At 38.0% G+C, this 22,888-nt stretch overlaps 2 protein-coding genes across 7 annotated transcripts in view, besides 1 other annotated feature; both read left to right on the forward strand.

Annotated features, from left to right (window-relative positions):
* IQCJ-SCHIP1 (IQCJ-SCHIP1 readthrough) overlaps nucleotides 1-22,888 on the forward strand; it is an 828,041-nt gene that overhangs the window by 96,717 nt on the left and 708,436 nt on the right. The window lies entirely within an intron of this gene.
* IQCJ (IQ motif containing J) overlaps nucleotides 1-22,888 on the forward strand; it is a 196,989-nt gene that overhangs the window by 96,717 nt on the left and 77,384 nt on the right. The window lies entirely within an intron of this gene.
* Nucleotides 19,940-19,999: an enhancer, noted in NCBI's record as "active region_20753". NCBI's record gives its function as "activates an Ori minimal core promoter by ATAC-STARR-seq in GM12878 lymphoblastoid cells {active_cell/tissue: GM12878}" and the evidence as "EXISTENCE:reporter gene assay evidence [ECO:0000049][PMID:35858748]".

A 22,888-nucleotide genomic window follows, 5' to 3' on the forward strand; every position in this document is an offset into this window, starting at 1 on the left:
TCTGATTTTCAAAGAAATAATTTTATTGATGTTTTTCTCCAGCAGGTGGAAATCCTAACAGATTCATGCAATGCAGGAAGGAGTTGCTAAGCAACCGTTTCCACTGTTTAAAAAAAAAAATCCAAACAAACCTTCCTTTTAAATACCAGCAGCATGTGATAAATTAGATAACTCTTCATCCAACTTTGAGCAAACTTATATAATTTACAAAAATTATATCATCCATTTCTGTTTCCTGCTCTTTTGTAACTTTCATCAACAATGGCACAATCTTCAAAGATGCAGTTTTAGATCTGGGTCAAGCTAACCGTGGAGCATAACACATAACAGTTAGAAATCCTGCTGTACTCTCAGTTATGGCTTTGCCAACCTGACATCCATTGACATGAGAATTCTTATAATCTGTCTTTGATGTCTTTGGAGTTAAAATTATGTTGGGACAAGTCTTGGGTCCTTCAGAAAAGTGGATTCTTTGTGGGCACTGGATTGTAATTAAACTTTAACACTAGCTCCTTTACTCCCCCAAATAAATTAAGTGATTTAATATAAAAGAACTAGCTCAAGAATTTGGGGATATTACCCTTTCTAGCACCAAGTGCAGCAGTGTGCATTCGGGAGCATTTAAATATATTTATCAGATTTTCTTCTGTGTGGAGGCTGGAGGATGGTTTCCTCAGGTTACAGGAGTACTTTATGCAAAGGAAAAATTGAAGGATCCCTCTAATCAGCCAGTAGCTGATTTCAAGACAAAGGCTCAGAATTCTTCCTAGAGGAAATATTAAAGAATATTTTAGTATTCGAGGTGTGCTCCCTCAGCAAGTCTTCCAAGAGGCTGTTGGGAGTGGCCGCTGGTAAGCTGGGGTAGATACTGTTATGGGGCATGTGTCTAATGCATCTGCAAATACTAGGGATATTGGAAACTTAATCCTGCCTATATCATAAAATTAAATTCTGTAGGAGGCAACCCTGGTATTTCCTAGTCTGACTGGTGGACTTGCATATACAAGGCTGCCATTGATCAAACTAAAAATTGGCAAGGTTTGCCTTTGACCCCTACTTATTTATTCTGCTGGGGACTCACCCAACATTCCTGTTGCCCAGAAATCAATACCAGCACAGGTATTTCTTGCCATTTGAACATGAAAATCTACTGGATTCAGCTACTGTGAAATTCTTGTACTTCTATAGCTTTTTATAACATGAGTTTTCATAGTCCTTATCTCATTTGCCTCCCTATAGCAACACTATTGATAAAGCAAAGCAGAATAATTGATTTCCATTTTCTGAAAAGGAAAATTGGTCATCCAAGTCACGGAGCTGAAATTGGAACCGAGAACTTTCTACTTTCAGTTTAGGGCTCTAGTCATAACATTGCAGCTCATAATTTCTGTTTTGCATCTCTTTTTTAGTGCACCCTGCTAAATGATTGATTAATAATACATTAAAATAAAGTGAGTTAAATTCTCATTGGGTCATCTTAGCTTAAAATGTTGTCCTTTACAGATAACATTTGAATCTCAATCCTGGAATATAATGCTATATTTAAGTGGACATTTAAAGCGTCATGAATTGTTTTGAAGATGGAAGAAAGTATTTTCAGGCAGAATTCTTGAATTAATTAATTAGTAAGTCAATATTGGATGAGTTTCTACCAGGTTACCAGCCCTGGTGTTACAGAAGGAAGCAAAACAGACATAATCCCTACCTTTATGTATTTTACGTCCCAGGTAGCTCATTTGTATCTACAAAATAGATATATTTTGTCTATATCTAAGGTTGCCTTTGCTGTGAAGGTAAGACTATCAAATGCTGGCCATGATAGAGGAGGAAGAGAAGAGAAGACAAGAGATAAAACTTAATTCCATAGGTTTACAAACTATTCTTTGTCACTTCTTTTCAGAGAAGTTTTGCACCACCTAGATGGGCCCGCAGAGGCAGGGAAGGTAAGGAAGATTGGTAGATGCTGGCAGTAAAATTCTTGCCCAGGTGAGCTGGCCTTTTTCCCCCAATTCTAGGACCATCTGTGGCCTCAGAGAGGGGGCCACAGTGTGTGGTGAGAGGGCACTGATGGTGTTGAGTAGACTGGATGTGAGAACAACCAGTCCTGTTTCAAAGTACATCTGCAGAAGTTCTCACTGCTAGGGATCCGGCCTTTACCAGTCTCCTTTCACTGTGAGCTAAGTGCTTGAAGGCCAGTGGGGAGGCCCTAGAAAAGGACTAGGCTGGGGATGAACTTGAGTCCCCTAGTGACTGAAGAAACTTCTTGAAAAAAATCTTTTAAAACAGGAACGCTTAACAGGCAGAGACTGTCCTCCTGCAGCAAAAATACTGTGTAAATCTCGTGACTTGAAAAATTACTAATGATCAATGGTTTTAAAAGATTTTGTCAGTTATACCTGTAATATAAATTTTTATATTAAAAATTCAGTCAAATATAATTGTGGTTCCTCCTCCACCATAACCACTACAATTAAGTGATCTTATAAATGGTACCAATGGTCATACCTGATTAGACACTCATGTTACAAAATCAACTACTGTATTTGAGTAGGCATGTAAGTGACTTTTTCACTGACTCCTGTGTATGTCATTTCATCCATGAGATTAGTAGTTAAGGACTCTGCATGTCTACCCCCCATTGTTAATGAAACAGCTTATTTCTAACAGTGATGATGAGTACTAGTATAGCTAATAGTTGATTTATCTTCATGAAATATTCCATAACATTCATTGGTTTCTACTCTTGAAACAAAACACTTTTAAGCCATATGTTAAAAAAAAAACCCAAAGAACAAAAACTTAGTTTAACATAGAGTCAATGGACCCACATACCTGAAGTTACTCTTCCATGGGAATTGTTCTCTCTGTTGGCCTGGCAGCAGAGAGAACAATTCTCATCATGCCAGGCCATCATTCTCATGACGATGAAGACATGATGATGATGATGATGATGATGATGATGATAAATACCTGCTATTTATTTTAGCACATACTCTCTGAAGGACACTGTGGCACCATTCTGATCTCTTTTTTATACATTATCTCATTTAATTGTCATTTTGACTCTATAAAGGAGATACTATTGGTATTCCTTTCTTATAACTGAAGAAACCAGTGCTCAGATGATTAAGTAACTTGCCATAACTTGCCAAAGAATGTATAACTTGGAAATAAAAGTTGAAGGTGAGTTTAAATGACTACAAAGCCTATGTTCTTTTTTTTTTCCCTTTTCTTTCTTTCTTTCTTTTTTTTTTTTTTTTTTTTTTTGATGGAGTTTTTGCTCTTATTGTCCAGGCTGGAGTGGAATGGTGTGATCTCGGCTCACTTGCAACCTCTGCTTCCAGAGTTCAAGCAGTTCTCCTCCCTCAGCCTCCTGAGTAGCTGGGATTACAGGCACATGCCACCACACCCAGCTAATTTTTGTATTTTTTAGTAGAGGCGGGGTGGTTTCACCATGTTGGTCAGGCTGGTCTCAAACTACTGACCTCAGGTAATCCACCCGCCTCGGCCTCCCAAAGTGCTGGGATTACAGGCATGAGCCACCGCACCCTGCCAAAGCCCATGTTCCTAATCACAGCATAGCTGTAGCAAGTTACCAGAATAAAAATGAAAAAGAGGGGCATTTAAGAACTTTGGGCTTGTTGCTTCACCCACCTTCAGAGTTCCTGACTCCAGCTTAGATCAGTTGGACCCAATTGTACTCCTTGAACTTGAGGGTAATTTTGAAGGTCAGATTCTGGGTGTGTGTGGAGGCAGCACTGCAAGAGGGTGGGAAGAGTCCTGAGGACTTTACCTGCCTTTGATTGTAGTTCCTGGGTGGTTTATAGGGGTGAAGTTTGAAAACCCAGACCTGACTTGTACCCATCCAACTTCAGACTTCCACCCCTCATCACTCCAGTTCAGAACTTGCAAGCAGATTGTCTTCCACCCATTTCTAGAACTGACCTTTTGTATGTACTCTGGTGACTCAGTCCTAGAAGGAAGTTTACTTTCCCTTAGTAAGTGGTTAGTAAACTTCCTTGCTGCACAGATGTCTTTGATCATCTGATAGAAGCTGTGATCTCACTCAGAAAAAGATGCACAACACACTTGCATACAACTCATTATTTATAATTTTAAAGGATTTGGAGACTTCCTAAAGCCAATCCATGCTTCCACTGAGAGGTCAAGGAACTCAAGTTAGGAAGAAATCTTCGGGGATGTTCAGTGTCATAGACAAACGTTTTTCAGTATTTTTTTTCAAGATTATAAAGCATATTGGAAAGCAAGGAGGAAGGGAGAGAGAGAGGAAGGGAAGAAAAGAAGACATGAAATGTCAAACAATATCAACACCCCCCAACTGCTTCTCCTCCAGCTAGAATAACAATTTATGTAAATAATTTTTGAAGATTTGTCTAATTGGGGCAGTTCTAAAAAGTAGGATGGACACTAACATTCAGTTTTGGCCGGTTTGCTATTTTGAAAGGAGACTGCAGCCAACAGGCCCTTAATGAACATTTTTTATACCAAACTAAACTTTTGTAACTTTACGATCTTTAGAAGATGAGAAGCCACACATTCCTCCTGACTCAGCCTATGGTTCTTTCAGCCATTTCCAGCTCCTCACCCTTTTTTTTTTTTTCTTGTTTTCGCTTGGCTTTGTGATGGTCAGAGTCAAAGATTACCTTAGCTGGGGTAATGTGCTATGGCCAGTCTTTGCCACGGGCAACAAAAGTGGGAAACTTCAGCTCCTCAGACATCCCATGCATGGTGGCAAACAGCCCTAAAGCCTCAGCTGTGGATTCCTTTCTCATAGCCCAAGTTAAAAAAGAACAGTGAAGTCATCTGTCATTTTAGTTTCATCTAATATTAGCTTTCCATTCCCAGCTAATTAAGGAGCAATATTTTCTTTAGTCATTCTCCTAGGCATGATTGTATTTAAATAACTTCTCCAGTTTCTTCATGTACTTGTGGAAAATTTTCTCCTTTTCTCTTTATAAGCTAGTAATTTAGTAATCGGCCAATTCTTTAAAAATTGCATGGACTAAAACATCCAAACCCCATCTTTAAAGTTATTCTCAGAAACCAGTAGGTAAACAAATATGGCCAGTGTTTAGTTGCACTAGTTATTAAAAAAAAAAACAAAACCAGCAACGAGGTACTATTAAACAGCACTCCCCCATGAAATTAGCCAACATCTCTCTCTATCTAAATCTATATTTATCTGTCCACATCAGTGTTATCGATGTACTTTTCCATTTGTTTACGTACATGAATGTAGGAGTATAGAATGCAGGTATACATATTTAGACATTATAGATGGCAGGGTATATAGGCATTTGTGCGTCAGAGACACTGTCCTTATCCAAAGAGCCCATGAGTGCTTCTCAGAGATTAGCCAGATATCAGCTTGTTAAACACAGGTTCCTGGAACCCACCCTAAAGATTCTGGGGTAGGGCCTGAGAATTTGTACTTCTAACAGGCTCCCAGGTAATGCTGATGCTGCAGATTCAAGAATCATGCGTCAATCAGCCCTGCTTCAGACTAGTGGTTCTCAGGCCTGCTGCACATTAGAATCACCAGAGGAGACCTTTAAAAAAATACTGATACCTTTGTTGCACTCTAGACAATTAAATCAGCACTTCTGAGACTATTTCTCGGGCTTCAGTAGGTTTTAAAAGCTCCACAGGTGATTCTTAAGTACAGTTAAAGTTGAAAGCCATTGCTTTTAGACCAGTGATTCTCAGACTTGGGTGTGAATGAGAATCTCCTGGAGGGTTTGCTCAACAGAAATTTCTGGGCCCCAACCCCAGAGGGTCTGATTTAGTAGATGTGTGATTGACCAGAGACCTTGCACTTCTAACAAGTTCCCAGGTGATGTTGATACTTCTGGTCCAAGGACAACATTTTGAGAGATGCTGCTTTAAAATTTAGATTCTCATGATGTGTGATGGCTGACTGAATCATAACACTTCCATGGTGTCACTGCAAATTGTCACATTTGGGGAAAATATTGTAGCAATATATATATTAAGAATCATAAACACCTTCATGCCTGTTGATCTAGTAATTCTGCTTTGGGGAATCTATCTGAAGAAAATAGATACGGAAAGCAGCTATAAGCTTGATGTTCACAGAATTGATTTTTATAATGGTCAAAATATTATAAAGCTTAAAATGTCCGTAAGTAGGTGATTGGCTTAATAAATCATGGGATATCCCCATAATGGAATAGTCATTAAAAATGATAGCTGCGAAAGTTAGCAACATGGAAAAGCATTTCTGATTTAAATCTGAATAAAAAATGTATAAATGTTGTGACTTACAACCATGAAAAAGTATACATAGAAAAAGTATCAGAAGGAAAGAAACTAAAGCAATAAAAGTCATGCTAAGATGATGGAATTTTTTTTTTCCTTCCAAATTTTCTTTGACTGTGTTTATCAATTTTATAACTATAATTGCAACTGTATAACAGCACCATATATGATATATAACATATATATATAGTTGGCATCAAATTACTCATTACCATTTCTCTTTGTGATAATGTGGCTTTATCTTGGTTTGAAATAAAATTCATAAGAATCCTGCATTTGCCTGCAGATCCTAATTGCAACTTTTCCTGAGTGACAGCACATGCCCTCTCTACTATGGCTCCTGCTCAGATATTTTCTGAGTGATGCTAATTACCCAGAGGTGACACAGAAAGAGCTTAAAGGTTCCTAGTAGGCAGGAAGCAGCCAAAGGCGGGCGGGGGGGTGGGGGTGGGGGAGATGTTGATTTTTTGGTTTTATGATGAATGATAGAGCATACAATGAAACTCATCTCTATTCACTATGCCTTCAATATCTGAAGGATTTATAAGAAACTCCATTTATATCCTCATTCTGTACTGTTTCACCAGAAGTTTTGAGAGTTACTTTCCTAAGTCACTGCGTAAGACAATATATAACAGATCAAATCCCAATGACTGGAAATCAAATGACTGGAAATATTATTTCAGGAGATTGCTCACTGTAAGTAAAATAGATCTAAGACTTAGATGGCCTGGGGCAATCTTACTTTCCAGACCTTTTTATTACTAGATTGCCTATCATAAACACCCTCTTCAGCTTTGGCCATGCCATCTTTAGGAGTAGACCGTGAGCAGACCTTGAATATCGCACAGAGCTTAAATTGTCAAAAATGTGTATAATACCACACTTGGTCTTTAAGCATTCCTTAATGCTAGATTCTTTTCATTGTACCAATCATTTTTATAGTTTATTTTCTAAGCTGTTGACACTGATACAATGTTCAGAAATAGGTTGTCCTTGGAACTCAGATGGTTTTTATATATCTTCAAAGTGTTTTCTGTATTTTGGAGGGTATATTTTCTATTATTATTTTTAGTAGAAACGTGTTGATTTATAAACAAACTTTACCAATTTACTTGCTGACTGTTGTTTCTTTTATTCCACTCCTACATCGCAGGATAGTTTTACGTTACCCTTTCAGAATAATTTCTCTTCTTGCCAAAGATATCTGTGGATATTAATTCTCTTATGCACCTACAAATGTCATTATTTCCACCCTTTCTAATTAATTAGAGTAGAGAATTCTAGATTTTCCCTTCATACTTTGAAGATATTCTCTACTGTCTTTTGACTCCCTCGCTGCTGCAGCGAAGTTTGCTGCCAACTGATTGTCATTCCTTATGGATAATCTTTTCTTTCCTTCTCCAGAAAGGCAAGAAAAGAAAATCTCTTTTTTCTTGATATTCTTCAATTTTACTACAGAATGTATGAAAGCATATTACATTTTATCTTTTTGTTCTTGTTGCATGTCTTTTTCCATCTGAAGACTTACATTTTTCTCTAATTCTAAAAAAATCCTTAGCTGTTATTCCTTCTGAAAGTTCTATTAGACATATCTGGAAACTTCTCATTAAATCCTATATGTATCTTAATTCTTTCATAATTTTCCTCCATTTATATTTCTTTACTCCATGATCTGAGAGTTTCTCAGTTGTAGCTTTTAACTCATTAAAATGTTATCTCATAACATTTATGTTCAATCAACTCCTCTGAGAATTTTTAAAAAATTGCAGTGACTATCCTTTTTCATTTTTAAAACTTATAATTCTTGTTTTTTAATATTGGCCAGTTCTAGTTTTGTATTCTCTTGTTCTTGTTTCATACGCTCCTATGCTTGTTTTATGGTTGCCATCTTCCAGATTTCTCTAAAGATTTTAAGCAATTTTCTGATTGCTCAAATATTTCTCTGCCCTTGAATGTGACATTTCCTTTTGGTTAGAGTTTTTAACCTATATTATATGATTAAAAATAGCTTTGAAAATTATTCTCTCAAGGTGCAAATGGGTGGATTAAAAACATTATTCTCCACTTAAAAAATTAATGTACACAGGAGCACAGAGATAAATACAAATATTCATCTTTCCATCACTAAAAATAACAGTAAAATTTTGTCATAAATATTTCAAATCATTTTTAGAGAAGTGGATCATTAAGAATATATCTAAAATATAATTTTATTTATCTTTAACTTCATTCTTTTTGCTTCAAATATTTGATCAATCAAAAATTGTTTAAAATCTCTAACGAAATCAAGAAGATAGCAACTTTCTTAGAAAGGCTGATCTTTATCCTAAAGTTGGGGATAATATTTCTTATCCACATTTATCCATATTTGTACACATATATTACACAGAAATTTATTCATAATTTTGTTTCTCAAAATTTACAAATGTGATTTATTGTGTGCATTATTTTGTAGTATTTTTTTTTCTTAGCCATGTTATTGAGATAAATGATAATGCATATGTCATACATTCTTGTACATATCTCACCATAAATATGTCTGAGACTCTCTCAAGACAACGTATTTGAAATAGAATTGCTGAGTCATAAGCTGTGAACATTGTCAGCTTTACTAGATATTGGCAAGTTGTTAGCCAAGCGATTGCCCCAATTTATACCCTCTTCCACCAGCAATATAGAATTGCCATTATTTATGTTGTCATTGATACTTGCATTGCTGATTTTAATTTTATCAGCTTTATTGAGGAGCAATTTACATACAATAAAATTCACTAATTTTAATGTACGATTCTATGAGTTTTAACAAATGTATACAGTCATGTAACCACCACCACAATTAAGATAGAAAGCAGGCCAGGCACAGTGACTCATGCCCATAATCCCAGCACTTCAGGAGGCTGAAGCAGGTGGATCACTTGAGCCCAGGCATTCAAGACTAGCCTGGCAACATGGCGAAATCCCATCTCAACAAAAGCAAAAGAAATTAGTCAGGTGTGGTGGCGCATGCTTGTAGTCCCAGCTACTCTGGAAGCTGAAGTGGGAGGATCACTTGAGCCCAGGAAGTCAAGGCTGCAGTGAGCTGTGATTATAAAACTTCACTCCAGCCTGGGCAACAGAGCAAGACCCTGTCTCAAACAAAACAAAACAAAACAAACAGAACATTTTCTATCACTCCAGTAAGTTCCCCTCATCCCTTTTCGTGGTCAATTCCCTTTCCCATTCCTGGACCCTAGCAACCACTGGTCTGCTTGAGTCATCAGAGTTTTCCCTTTGTTGGAATTTTGCTTGCTTAATGCTCTTGAGATTCATTCAGGTTGTTTCGTATATCAATAGTTTGTTTCTTTTTATTACTAATTAGTATTTCATATAGATACTCTACAATATGCTTATTGATCAACACTGATGGAAATTTGGTTTGGTTCCAGTTTGGGGCTACTATGAATAGAGCTTCTATTTACCTTACAAGTCCTTGTATGCACTAGATAAATGTTTAGAGCTGGAACTACTAAGTTGCATGGTAAGTATTTAGTGTATCAGAAACTGACAAGCTGTTTTCTATTATGGCTGTACCATTTTACATTCCTACCATCAATGTATGGGAGTTCCAGTTGTTCCACATCTTTGTTGACACTTGAAATTGGTCAGTCTTCTTAATTTTAGCAATTTTAGTTGGTGTATGTATTTCCCTAACGAATGATGCTGTTGAACATCTTTTCATGTGCTTATTTGCCTTTAATATAAGCTCTCTGGTGAAGTTTCTTTTCAAATCTTTTGTCCATGTTTAACCAAACTGCTTGTTTTCTTAATATTCAGTTGTAGAAGTTCTTTATATATTATGCATAAAAGTCTTTAATAAGATACATGTTTTACAAATATCTTCTCCCAGTCTCTGGTTTGCTTTTTCACTTGTTTACAGTACCTTTTTAAAAAGCTAAAGTTGTTTTTAATTTTTCTAGTTTTAGTTTGTTATTATTTTACTGTTGTCTATTTTATTTTTTAAAATATCTTTTCCCTTAGAAATTGATATACCCATTTTAGAATACTGATATAGAATGAACAGGTTTTTAAAACCCAATATTTAATTATTAAATACATATCTTACTACACTTAACAGTGATACATATTTAAAAGCAACACTAGATTTTGAAATGGTTTGTGGGTCTTGGAGGTGAAAGTAAAATTTAACTCTTCAGTAATAGCACTGTTTTCTAGGACAGTGTTTTTAGTAGAAATAGAATGCAAGCCACACATATAATTTTAAATTTCCTAGTAGCTACATTAAAAAATTAAACAGGTAAAATTGATTTTAGTAATATATTTTATTTGACACAACATATAAAAAATGCTATGATTTCAACATGTACTCAATGCGAAAATTAATGAGATACTTTATTTCTTTCATATACTCCAGTTAAAAAATTTTTAATGTGGCACTAGCTGCATTTCAAGTGTTCAGTAGCACATGTAGCTGGGGGAGGGTACCATATTGACCAGGGAAGTTCTAGAGAAAAGGCAAACTTTATTTCAATTGAATAAGCTCTTACAGCATCCACAATACTGTACAAAGTGGTGATAAAATATATGAGATTCAACTGTGTGGCCAGGAGAATATAAAAAGCTAATTTCATCTTTGAAGATTTCCTGGAAACACTACTAGGTAGTTCAGTAAAGCTGTATTTGATTGTTACATGCTAGAAAGTGGATGTTGATCCCAAAAGATCCTGCTAGTAACACTTTTATCATTAAATAGAAAGCAGTGGGGAGGCTTTGGGCTAGAAAATCCACATCCAAGTTTCTTTTTCCAGGCCAAAGAATTAATAGTTGAGCAATATTATTGTTTAATAATCCATATCAATGGGGATCTTTTTGAATTGCCTTCCTTGGTTTGATTATCACAAAATTCCCACACAATATAAGAAACTGGGTGTGCCCTCTTCTTTCCTCACCCTGCTCAACAATCCTTATATAAAGATTTCCTGGGTGACTGCATGCCTATTAGAATGACTGACAACAAACAATAACTGACAACGCCATGTGCTGACAAGGACTTGAAGCAACTGAGACTCTTTGCTGGTGGAAAAAGACAATGGCACAGCCACTCTGGAAAAGTGTGGCAGTTTCTTATAAAGAAACAAAGTTAAAAAGTTAGTTTGTTAAACATATATTTATCACATGACCCAGCAATCCCACTCAGGTATTTCCTGAGGTGAGATGGAAACCGAAATTCACACAGCTCAGGGATTGCTAAGGACCAGAGCTGGAGGGAAGCATTGACTATGAGGAAGCACAGGGGAATTTTTTGAGGTGGTAGAACTCTACCTTGATTGCACTGGTGGTTGCATGATTGTAGCATTCGTCAAAATGCATACATCTGTACACTGAAAAGAATAACCGTTATTTTAGATGTTATTCAATTTTTAAAGAAGTTTTAAAAATGTATTGGGTAATTAGTGAATGCTAGGACCAAAAGAGGGGAGGGAGAAAGTATGAAAATAAATACAGTACCAATTTATACAAGTAATAGGATTTGACCTGAAAATCAGTGTTGCCTCAATTTAGTTCAACTCAATAAATTCACATTTGGGTGCCTACCCTGTGTCAGGGATAGATAGTGAATAAGACACAGCTGGCTGCTAACTTCAAGAAGCAATGTTCATTTTTGTGAGACATATGCAGGCATATGATGAACATTTTTATAACTCGCTCTTCTCTGAAGCAAAGCAAATATAGTTCTAAGAATGTTTGCTGCTTGAAAGCAAATCCAAGAATGTTGTTCAGAAGGATACCACATAGTAGAAACTTTTAAAGATTTCTTTATTTCTATGCTTTCTCATATCTGGGATGCCATTATTCTCAGAGTGAATTCCCTGAAAGGTAGGTGACATGAAGTAAAAGAATGGCTTGCTACTAGCAGCAATAGAAAGGAAACTATCATGGGATGAGGATGTGCTAAGATATATTGCACATCTTGGTGTTGATGGTTCCGTATAGGCTTCGACTTGACTGACAACCACTTAATCTTGGGTGAATGACTTGTTACCCAGTAATGAAACCACTTACTCTGACAACTGAAGGCATTGCAGTCCTTCGATCAGCCCAGAAGTCATTCCTGATGGGAATACAGTGGGAGTCCTGGTATAGGTGAATATTCAGACAGCTGCAAAAGTGTTATTTTCTCAGAATGCAACATCCTCTGTGTAGCTTGAGCTTATACACATACATACTATACCAACACTGTTTTTCTTTCCATGCCCCTCATGTTGCACCCTTGCGTTGTATGCTTTCTCACCTTTTCACTGTGTTCTGCTCTATTGGAAGGAAGTGGGCTGGTTAGTTAGCCAGGTAGATAACAGCAGCTATGTTTGCCTAGCATTTAATAGCTTTAGAGTACATTAACCCTCAAACAGCTCTATACAGTGGACAGGGGAAGTGTTATTATCTCAGTTGTAGGAGAAAACAGGAGGTCCAGAGGGGTCATAAGTTGTCCAAGTTGCTCAACAGGAAAAAGATACAATCAGTTCTCAAGTTTGAGTCTTCTGATCAGGGCACTTACCCCTGCACGATGATGCCTCATTATTGATTTTGATTTTGATTTCAGATGCTGTGGGTGCTGACATATCTTTGTGTGTGTGTGCGCACATGCATATAATTATGCTAGAAAAAAATATATTTTGGAATAAACCTACATGTTATCTGTCCTCCACACTGGAGGACAGGCAACAGACACCACACTCTCTAGCACAATGTCCGTGAACAGGAGTTATGCAAACTGGTGTTAAATAAAGGAATCCTTCCTTCTTTTATTCAAACGCTAATCATTGCCCTCATGTCATTTGATATTTTAATATGCAGTTTGGATGCTAGACATGGAACCAGGGACAGTAGGATGGTAGCTCCCTGGTCTTCTGTGTTTAAGAGGTTAATAGTTTGGGACTATTTAACAGTTCACTTAATAGTTTGGAACTATTGGTTTTGAACTGTTTTTCATGGTCAGAGGTTCTCACCTCTGCATCTACTTACAGCAGCAGTGACCCTGGAAGCTTTATATCCACCCTGATTCTTCTTGATTTCAAGGACTTTCCAGGAACCTATCAAACTGGTAAAGGGTTGAAGGACTGGTAGCAATATTGATCTTACCAACATAAGTAGTAGTTACCATGATGCAGTTACTTTAGGGAAAATAAAAAGGCTCTCAAAAGTGTGAATCATCTTCTCACTGGAATCTATTATGTCTCATATTTTTTCTTCTTGGATTAAAATATCTATCATAGATGTGGGGAAAAATTATGTGAGACATTAGGCCAGTATCAGTTTTACTTAAGCACATTTCTATGAAAAGAGACTGACAATAGCTATAAAAATACGTACCATTTATTAAGCATTTAATAAGAATCAACCTTTAATACATTATTTTCTTTACTCCACAACAACCTTCTGAGGAAGTTTTGAATGAGAGACTGAGACTTAGAGGTTAAATAACATTCAGTCAAAAAGTGGAAGAGCCCAATTCAAATTCAGACCTGCCATGGCCATGACTCTGTGATCAAGACACAGACATTTTTCTCAAGTAGATTAAGATATACAAGGGGCTCTGAGAAAAGACTAAGCATGTGGAGAAATAGCAGTTCATGGCAGGTGAAATGGGAGCCACAAGAGGAGGGTGAGCATATGTGCTTTTAGATTTTAGAAGAAGCAAAGCTTTCACTTGGTAGAAGGCGCTAGGGCAGAAGAGGCTTTGTGAAGGTCGTGGGACCTGAGGTGGGGTTGGAAGGAAAGGTAGTATTCCTGTAATAGACAGGCATGTTTATCTGTAGCCTATAAATATAAATATGCTTAAATGGAACATTGATTCTGCATTATCAGCAGAGAACAACACATGCAAATTTTGGCTCTTGAGGTTTTATTTGAAATCATTTCTTGACTCATGGGTCAAAACTCAGGACATTTCTCTCTCTCTCTCTTTCTGTCTCTCTCTGTCACACACACATATACACACTCCTAGTGATTGTGTGCACACATAGGCAAATAGTATAATTAATATGATTTTTAAAATTATCTGCCTCAGGATGTCCTTTTTCTTAGAAACACTAAAAAGCAAAGTGGCATGATATCTGCCATTTAAAAATGATTCAGCAGAAAGTGTATATTTATATATGTTTAAACATTGTATATAGACTGCTCTTTAAAAAGAGTATAGTAAATGGATGAATAGATAGATGATTGATAAATAGGTGAATAATTGGATGGAGAGAGATAGGGCAGGAGAGAGAGTGAAAACAAAAACATGTAGTATGTTAACTAATAAATATAGATTCTAAATGAAGGATATATGGGTATTCATTATACTATGTTTTAACTTTTCTTTGTTTAAATTTTCCATTAAAAAGTTGAGAGAAACATGGGAAATTCAGAAATGGCAAAATAAGTAAATAAAAACAACCCATAACTCTATCTGATATAGCCACATTAATACACTACAACATTTGGATGCATTTCCTTCTAGTCTTTTTTCTAGATATATGTTTTTAAAATTTACAACATTTTGTCATCAAGTTATATGTCCAGCTCTGTAACCTGCTGTTTTTCACTTAGCACTGTGGCACAAGCATTTTATCACATCAATAAAAGCCCTCAATGAAAAAATATATTCTTGATTAAACGTACATGTTGTCTTCTCCTCTTCCCTTCATAGCTAAGTATCTTCAAGAGTAGCTGCTACTTTCTCAACTTCCATTCACTTTCCTACCCACTAAGATCTGCATCATCCCCACTTCTCCATGGAACCTGCCTGGGCAATGGAAACGAACACCATGTCTGGTGGACATGTTTCAGTCCACCTCTTGCTGTTGCCTTGATTTCCTTCTTGAGATTTCCTGCCTTCTTGGCACCACTCTCTCCTGCTGCCTTTCCTGCCTCAGTAGGATTCTTTTAAGCAATTTCACAGGCCTCTCTTCCTCTCCATTTCTTAAGCACTATGCTCCTTAGTGCTCTGTTCTTAGTTTGTGCTCTACTTTTGCTGGCATTCTCACTGGGCAGGAAGTCTAGCCATTCACTTGGTTTTAACTTGTTAAAACCAAGTGAGTGGCTAGACTTCCTGCCCAGTGAGAATGACTTCTGAATCTACCTCTTTATCCCTGAGTTGTCACCTGAACTGAACTTTAGGCTCAGAATCTCATGGCTGACTGGGAAATCCACCAGGGATTTCCACAGTCCTCTCAAGGCAAAATGCAAAAACTGAACTCATCATTGCCATCTCCTTCTCAGCTTCCCCATTCCACTCAGGCACCCTTGCTTCCCTGAGTTACCTATCACAGTGAATTGCTTCATCTACCCAGATTCCTGAGCTGGAAGCATAGAGTCCTTCTAGAATCCTTCCACATCCATAAAAACCAAGTTGTGTTGACTTTCTCTTTTCCACCTCTCTAATCTGTCCAATTCTGTGTTCCTATTGTGACTGCCCTGGCTTAGGCTCTCATCAACTCTTTCTGAATTCTTGCACCATCTCCAAACTGATGTTCCTTACTTGTGCTTGGTCCATTGTCATGCAGCCACTAGAGTGAACAATTTAATAAGAATTCAATCATGCCATTCCCCTCTTAAATTCCTTTAAAGTGTCTCTCTTATCTTTCCTATAAGACAAAGTCCCAGCCTCTTAACATGCATCACCAAGCTTTATGTGACTTGACCCCTGCACACTGGCCTTGTTTCCTCTACATTTGCTTTAACTGTACGCCTCATTATATACATGCATGTAGCTCAACAAATGCCTTACCTCAGTTTCCTTGCTGTTTTTTCCTTTTTAAAAATATTCTCTCCCTACTTCTTGGCTTGGCTATTCCTACTAATTCTTACCAACAAAATTATACTTTTTTTAAAAAAAACAGGAAAGCCTCTCTATACCCCCAATGACAGCTGTGCCCCAACAGCACTCTTTACTCACCATGGTGGGTAGAAGTGATTTGTTTTCAAGCCTGTCTCTTTCTCCACATGGGAGCTCTGAAACTAGGAAATCTATCTCATTCACCTTTACATGTGGAGTTCTGCACCTTACTTGGTCCTTGGCAAGAACTCAGCAAATATTTAATGAATTACATGTCTATCTAAGTAGTGTAGCAGGACAAGCCGCAGACAAAACTCCTCAGACACCGAGTTAAAGAAGGAAGGGGCTTATTCGGCCGGGGGCATCGGCAAGACTCCTGTCTCAAGGGCCGAGCTCCCCGAGTGAGCAATTCCTGTCCCTTTTAAGGGCTCACAACTCTAAGGGGGTGCACGTGAGAGGGTCGTGATCGATTGAGCAAGCAGGGGGTACGTGACTGGGGGCTGCATGCACCAGTAAGTAGATCGGAACAAAACAGGATATCTTCACAGTGCTTTTCTATCAATGTCTGTAATCTATAGATAACCGATTAGGTCAGGGGTCAATCTTTATTTTTATTTATTTTATTTTTTTTCACAATGCTTTTCTATCAATGTCTGTAATCTATAGATAACATAACCGATTAGGTCAGGGGTCAATCTTTAACTACCAGGCCCAGGGTGTGGCGCCAGGCTGTCTGCTTGTGGATTTCATTTCTGCCTTTTAGTTTTTACTTTTTCTTTCTTTGGAGGCAGAAATTGGGCATAAGACAATATGAGGGGTGGTCTCCTCCCTTAGTAGTAGCAATGGAGGTCTCTGAGTGTTTGGTATGTACAGAAAGTATGTTATGAAGGTGATAGGAGTAGGGAAAGTTCTAGTTCATGTCTGGAAGAGTAGGTATTCATAGGACTCCTTTGATTTGGCACAGGATAGCCATCAGATACAGCCACTGCAGGGCAAAGTCAAAGTCAAGAGGAGGTGGTTCAGAGTTAGAAAAGGATGAAAGGACATTTCAGGGAAATAATTATTTTTCTATTGCATATGTCTCATTCACATATCTGGTTCATTTTGAGATTGTTTTAAATAATTATGATGAGTATTTGCACAGCTCTTCATACTTTATATAGGTTTTTATTTCATTATGAAGTCTTTTTTGACTGATTTCCCAGCATCTTACCACTATACCTAGGAGTAATGTCTCCCTTCTTCATGCCCTCTCTATACTTTGTCTGTTATGCTCCTTTCTGTCTATGTGATCTTATTTCAGGCCCAAATTTTAAATTCCACATATTTGCCAATGACTTCCCCATTTTGTTTTTCCAGACAAGACCTCTCTTAGCTCCAGACTCTCACAGCCAACTGTCAAGGTTAGCTAGGCTTGACAGTAACAAATAAGCCTTGAAATATCAAAGACTTGTTACAATAAAGTTTTATTTCTTGATCATGTCTCAGTCCAATGCTAGTTGAGTAGCTCTCCTTCAAGAAGTAACTTAAGGATCCAAGCTTCTTCCATCTTTTTATACTGTCACAATACACATAAAAGGCAGTGTGGAGGATCAGGTGAGACATTACACTACTATCCATTGAGTTGCTTCATCAAATGTCTCACAGTAATCTTCGATTCACCACTGTCTCCATATCCACTATCCCCTGCCATTAGCTCTCCTTCCAAAATGTTTCTTGAATCCATCTATGTATGATCATCCCTATTCCTATTTAATTCAAGACCCTACCATTGCTTGCCCAAATGACCATAGAGTTTCCTGCCTTTTCTCTTGCCTCTCTACAATCTAGTTGCCCACGCAGCAGCCAGAGATCTTTGTAAAACCTAAATCAGGCCCTTTCCCACCCTTACTTAAAATACTTCAGTGATTTTTCATTAAACTTTGAATAAAATAAAAACTCTTTGCTATGTTCTACAAAAGTTTGTGTGATTCACCCCCGCTCACCTCTCCATCTTCATCTTACATCATTCTCCCCCTAACTTACTATACTTAGGTTATGTTTGCCTTCTTTATATTACTAAAATAAGATACACTTGTTTCTACCTTGGGCCTTTAAACTCATTCTTTACCCTATCTGAAACACTCTTTCTCCAGATCTTCCTGTGGTTGGTCCCATCATATTATTTGGGTCTCAGCTTAAATGTCACCTCCTCAGAAAAGCCTTCTCTGATTATTCATTCTAAAGTGGCCCCTGAATCATTTCCTGATAACTTATAGCTCTTCTCAATGTCTAAACTTATTGAGGCATTTATTTGCTTGTCTGTTTATTGTCTCTCTCTCCCTCTCTCAATTAAAATGTAAACTTTAGAAGAACAGTGTCTTTTTGTTTGCTTGTTTACTTTTTAGCTGGTGTATTCCCCAAACCTACAATAGTCTAACACACAGGAGACTTACTAAACATCCATGAATATGAATAAACAACATCCACAACTATTTTTGCACATTTCTTACATGTCTACTTCTGTTACATTCCATGGTTCTTGAGGACTGAGTCCATCATTTTATTTACTTTTTAAATCAGGTAGACATATTTGGATGAATCTTGAAATTGATCTGGTATATTGATCCAGTTTCTGTTGTAGAGAACAGAATCTAGTCTAGCTAGTATAATTAGAAGGGAGCTTATTAAAGTGTAGTACAGGTTTACTAAATTTAAGAGGGCTGAGGAAATAGGCTCTGGATTGAATTTGCAAGAGTATCTCCAAAATTTCCACTCTGGAGCCATGTCACCAAAAGAACCACTAATTTTTGTATGATAAGAAGTTACTTATTGAATTCAGAAGTTTCCACTTTAGCTGCTGGTTTCAAAATCATGGCCGCATAGCCACAAGCAGGAAGCATCCAACATCAGTAACCTTTCATAATCTTAAATCCTTTGCCCCTACTTCTGTCAGCTCCAGAGCCCTATCAGGCCCATTACAATCCATAACAGAAAAATGAATACTCTGAATCCTGATTCTTGGTAATCAGAAAACTAGGATGCTGGGGCCTCTGTCAGAACTGCCACAAAACAACCCTCTACAAATGTGCCTACTAATGGAGGCAACAGAAATAAGACTTTCCTTGCCTGCCCCTTCCATATCTCACAGGAGGGCATTCTGATTGGTAGAATCTAAACACTCTTTGAATCCTAGCTGCAAGGGAGTTTCTAAAATGTAGTAATAGTGTGTTTTTCAGCATTCTAGTCTCTGTGGTATGGTGGGCAGTCTAAAAGAAGGATAGAAAGGATCCTGAGTGCCAATCCACTATATTCATCAAAGCTATGGTTGTTAGACCATTGTCATATTAGTTTTTTATTACTGCATAACAAATTATTTTAAAACTTAACAATTCAAAACAGAAAACTATTATTATCTCATAGTTTCTCGGGGCCAGAAACTCAAGAATGTGCTAGTCAGTGGTTCTGACTCAGTATCTGCAATGAAATTGCTTGACTGAGGCTTGAAGATCCACTTTCAAAATGACACTCACATGATTATTTGCAGGAGGCCTCAATTCCTTTCCGGCTTTTAGCAAGAGGCTTCAGTTCTTCACTTGCTGGGGTGCTTCAATTCTTCATTTTTGTAGGCCTCTCCATGAAGCTGCTTGATTGTCCTCAAAACATGGTATCTGGCTTCCCCAGAGCAGGAGCTCTAAGAGAGAGAACCAGGAGGAGGCCACAAGCATTTTAAAACCTCATCTTGGGGAAGTCACAGACTCTCACTTCTGCTATATTTTATTTGCTAGAAGGAAGTCACTAACTCTAGACCATTTTTAACAGAAGGGGAATTAGACTCCAACTTTTGAAGAGAAGAGTATTACAGAATTTGTGGGCATGTTTAAAAACCACCATGGTTACCTTTACCTATCAAGGGCTGACAGGGCAGGGCGATAGGGACTAGGATGGAAATTTTAATGGAGAAGGGGAGAGAGACAATAAACAGTTAAGCAAATAAATGCTACAGTGAAGGTTGACTTAGTGAGGGATGAACTTTAGGGTATGGGGTGAGTCTGATTGGTCTATGTCAGCCAGAGTAATTGTATATCCCCAGCACCTAGCATGACATAAATGCCACACTATTTAGTGGACATTAAGACTAGTGAATGAATAAAGGAAGGAATGAAGGACTTTTTGAATAGGTAGGTGATGGCTGGATGAATACATTCTAATTTTTAGGATCCTAAATCATAATTAAACTAATCCTTCAAATATGGTGTTTCACATGGCCCATCTGGTTACATTTAGTTCTGTGAGTTGTTTCCTTAACAGTAAGACAAGCATTTCAAACACTTCACAAAATCCAAACATTGTGGAAGACTAATTTGAACCCCTTATGCATCTGTTATTCAGAATCAGCAAGTAGAAGCCCCAGTCAAGCGCAGGTCAATCACCCCACATGCTCTAGATGTTATTAAGGAGACAGCCATTACTTTTGAGCAGCAGAAAATGTGCTCATGCTCTTGGCTCAGTAAATTCAGATGGGAGGAAAGGTGACTGTTATTGTTCTGTCTTACTTTCTTTCTTCAACATACTGAATTGCTATTTTTAAAAAGTTGCTTCCTGTCTAGCAAGGTGCAGTTAATGACAGCAGCAAATTTCTCACTCATCAATCTGAACTAGCAGGTCTAAACCAGCACAGCACTTTTGAACATGCTGCTGGTGAGAGAAAACGGGATGTCAGACTGGTCATCTTTGAAAGGCTTTCTTGAATCATATGGCTAGGTTTCTGAAGAGTGAAAAACAAGCCTCGAGGTGAGGGCATTCTGTAGCTCAGGTGATGAGTTTTGAGAACTTTATTGAGCTCCCCATTAAAATGTTGGCATTGGGCATCCAGTCTTGTGATTTGCCTCAAAGTTTCTGCTTTGAAGACACTGGATTAGACAAGCTATTATAACAGAATTTTTAAAAATCTAGATAACGTATTCTACAGTTAAATAAAAGCATTTTCAGCATTTATTTTATTCAGCATGTATTTACTGAGCTCTTATTAGAAACTTGCTGATGTGCTAAGCCCTGAGAATGAATATAGGGTGAACAGAGAGAAAAGGCTATTGCCTCTGAGGCCCATAAAGGGCCAGCTTTTTATTCTTGGCTGAAAACCCAATACAGAACCCAAATAAGGCCTTGGACTTTTGACCTCTACTTGGTCTGGCCCAGAACTGGAAGATAACTTGCTTTTGATAGACTCTTTGGAATGAAACCAAGGGGCCTATTGCCTAACGCTACCTCATTCGACTTGTTGCTCTACTTTCAAATTCATAAGCAAGCACTATTAAAGCTGTGACTACACGTCCTTTTCAACGAACTTGTCTCTGCTACAGGTCCTGTGACCAACACGGCAGGGCTTCGCTCCTGGTGCACCATGCTCCGCGCGGTCAGGCGGCCACAAGCCATGCTGTAACTGTCAGTCCATAGGATGAGTTGGAATTGTCCATGCTGTAGATGGCAGGAACCTAGAAGTCGCTCTTCTTAACGGCAGACGTTATCAGGGAAGCTCGAAGGATGGCACCAGGGTCCGTTTTTCAGCATAGTTCCCTTTGGATGTGAGCTGTGTCTCACAGTGTCCATCGGTGTCCTTCTCTTCATGGTCACAAGGGAGGTGTAGCATCTGACGCCCCATAATTCTCACATTCTTGTCCTGAGAGTGAAAGCTTTTCCTCCCTAAGGCTTCAGCAAGCAGGACCTGGAATCCCGCTGCTCTGATTGGCTGCATGACCTATTTTAAACCAATCACTGTGGCTGGGTGGGTGGGACACTATTAGGCTTAAGCCAATGAGAACTCTTCCACCGGCGCTGGGCATGGGTCAGTCCACCCAAGCTACCGACCAGAGAGGTGATTTTTTTAAAGGAAATTTGGGCACTATTTGAACAGGAATAGTTATGGATGCCTCTGCCACCATCATTGGTGCTCTCAGCCTTTTTCTTTCTTTCACTTTAAAAAAATACTTTGGCCGGGCGCTGTGGCTCATGCCTGTAATCCCAGCACTTTGGGAGGTCGAGGCGGGTGGATCACCTGAGGTCAGCAGTTCGAGATCAGCCTTGCCAACATGGTGAAACCTTGTCTCTATTAAAAATACAAAATTAGCCGGGTGTGGTGGCACACGCCTGTAATCCCAGCTACTTGGAAGGCTGAGGTAGGAGAATTGCTTGAACCTGGGAGGTGGAGGTTGCAGTGAGCCGAGATCACGCCATTACACTCCAGCCTGGGCAACAAGAGTGAAACTCTATCTCAAAACAAAAACAAAAACAACAACAAAAAACAAAAAAACAACAAAAATTATTTTTAAGAACAGCTTTAGATTTACATAAAAGATTGGTAAGAGCACATAGAGTTCCCATATTTCCCCTATTCCCAGTCCCAATTTCCCCTATTATTAACATTTTACATTTTATGGTACTTTTGTTACAATTACTGAACCAATATTAAGACATTATTATTAAGTACGGCCTGTACTCTAAGATTTTATTTTTGCCTAATGTCTTTTTCTTTTTGAGGCTTCCATTCAGGATACTTTATTACATCTAGTCATCCTGTCTTGGCTGTGGCAGTTCTCTTACTTGCCTTGGTATCTCCCCCTTCTCCTTGTGACTTAAAATCTAGGGTTAACTTTACCAAATCAATGTGCCCAGCTCATAGTAGGAGTTGGGGAAATTATTCGTTGAATAATAAAAGCTGACTTTTGTATTCTCAGTTCATTTAATGGTTTTAGGAATGTTCCCTTCATGAGCATTTATACCTTAAAC

This window comes from Homo sapiens, chromosome 3 (genome assembly GCF_000001405.40).
Source record: "Homo sapiens chromosome 3, GRCh38.p14 Primary Assembly".
NCBI classification, from domain to species: domain Eukaryota; kingdom Metazoa; phylum Chordata; class Mammalia; order Primates; family Hominidae; genus Homo; species Homo sapiens.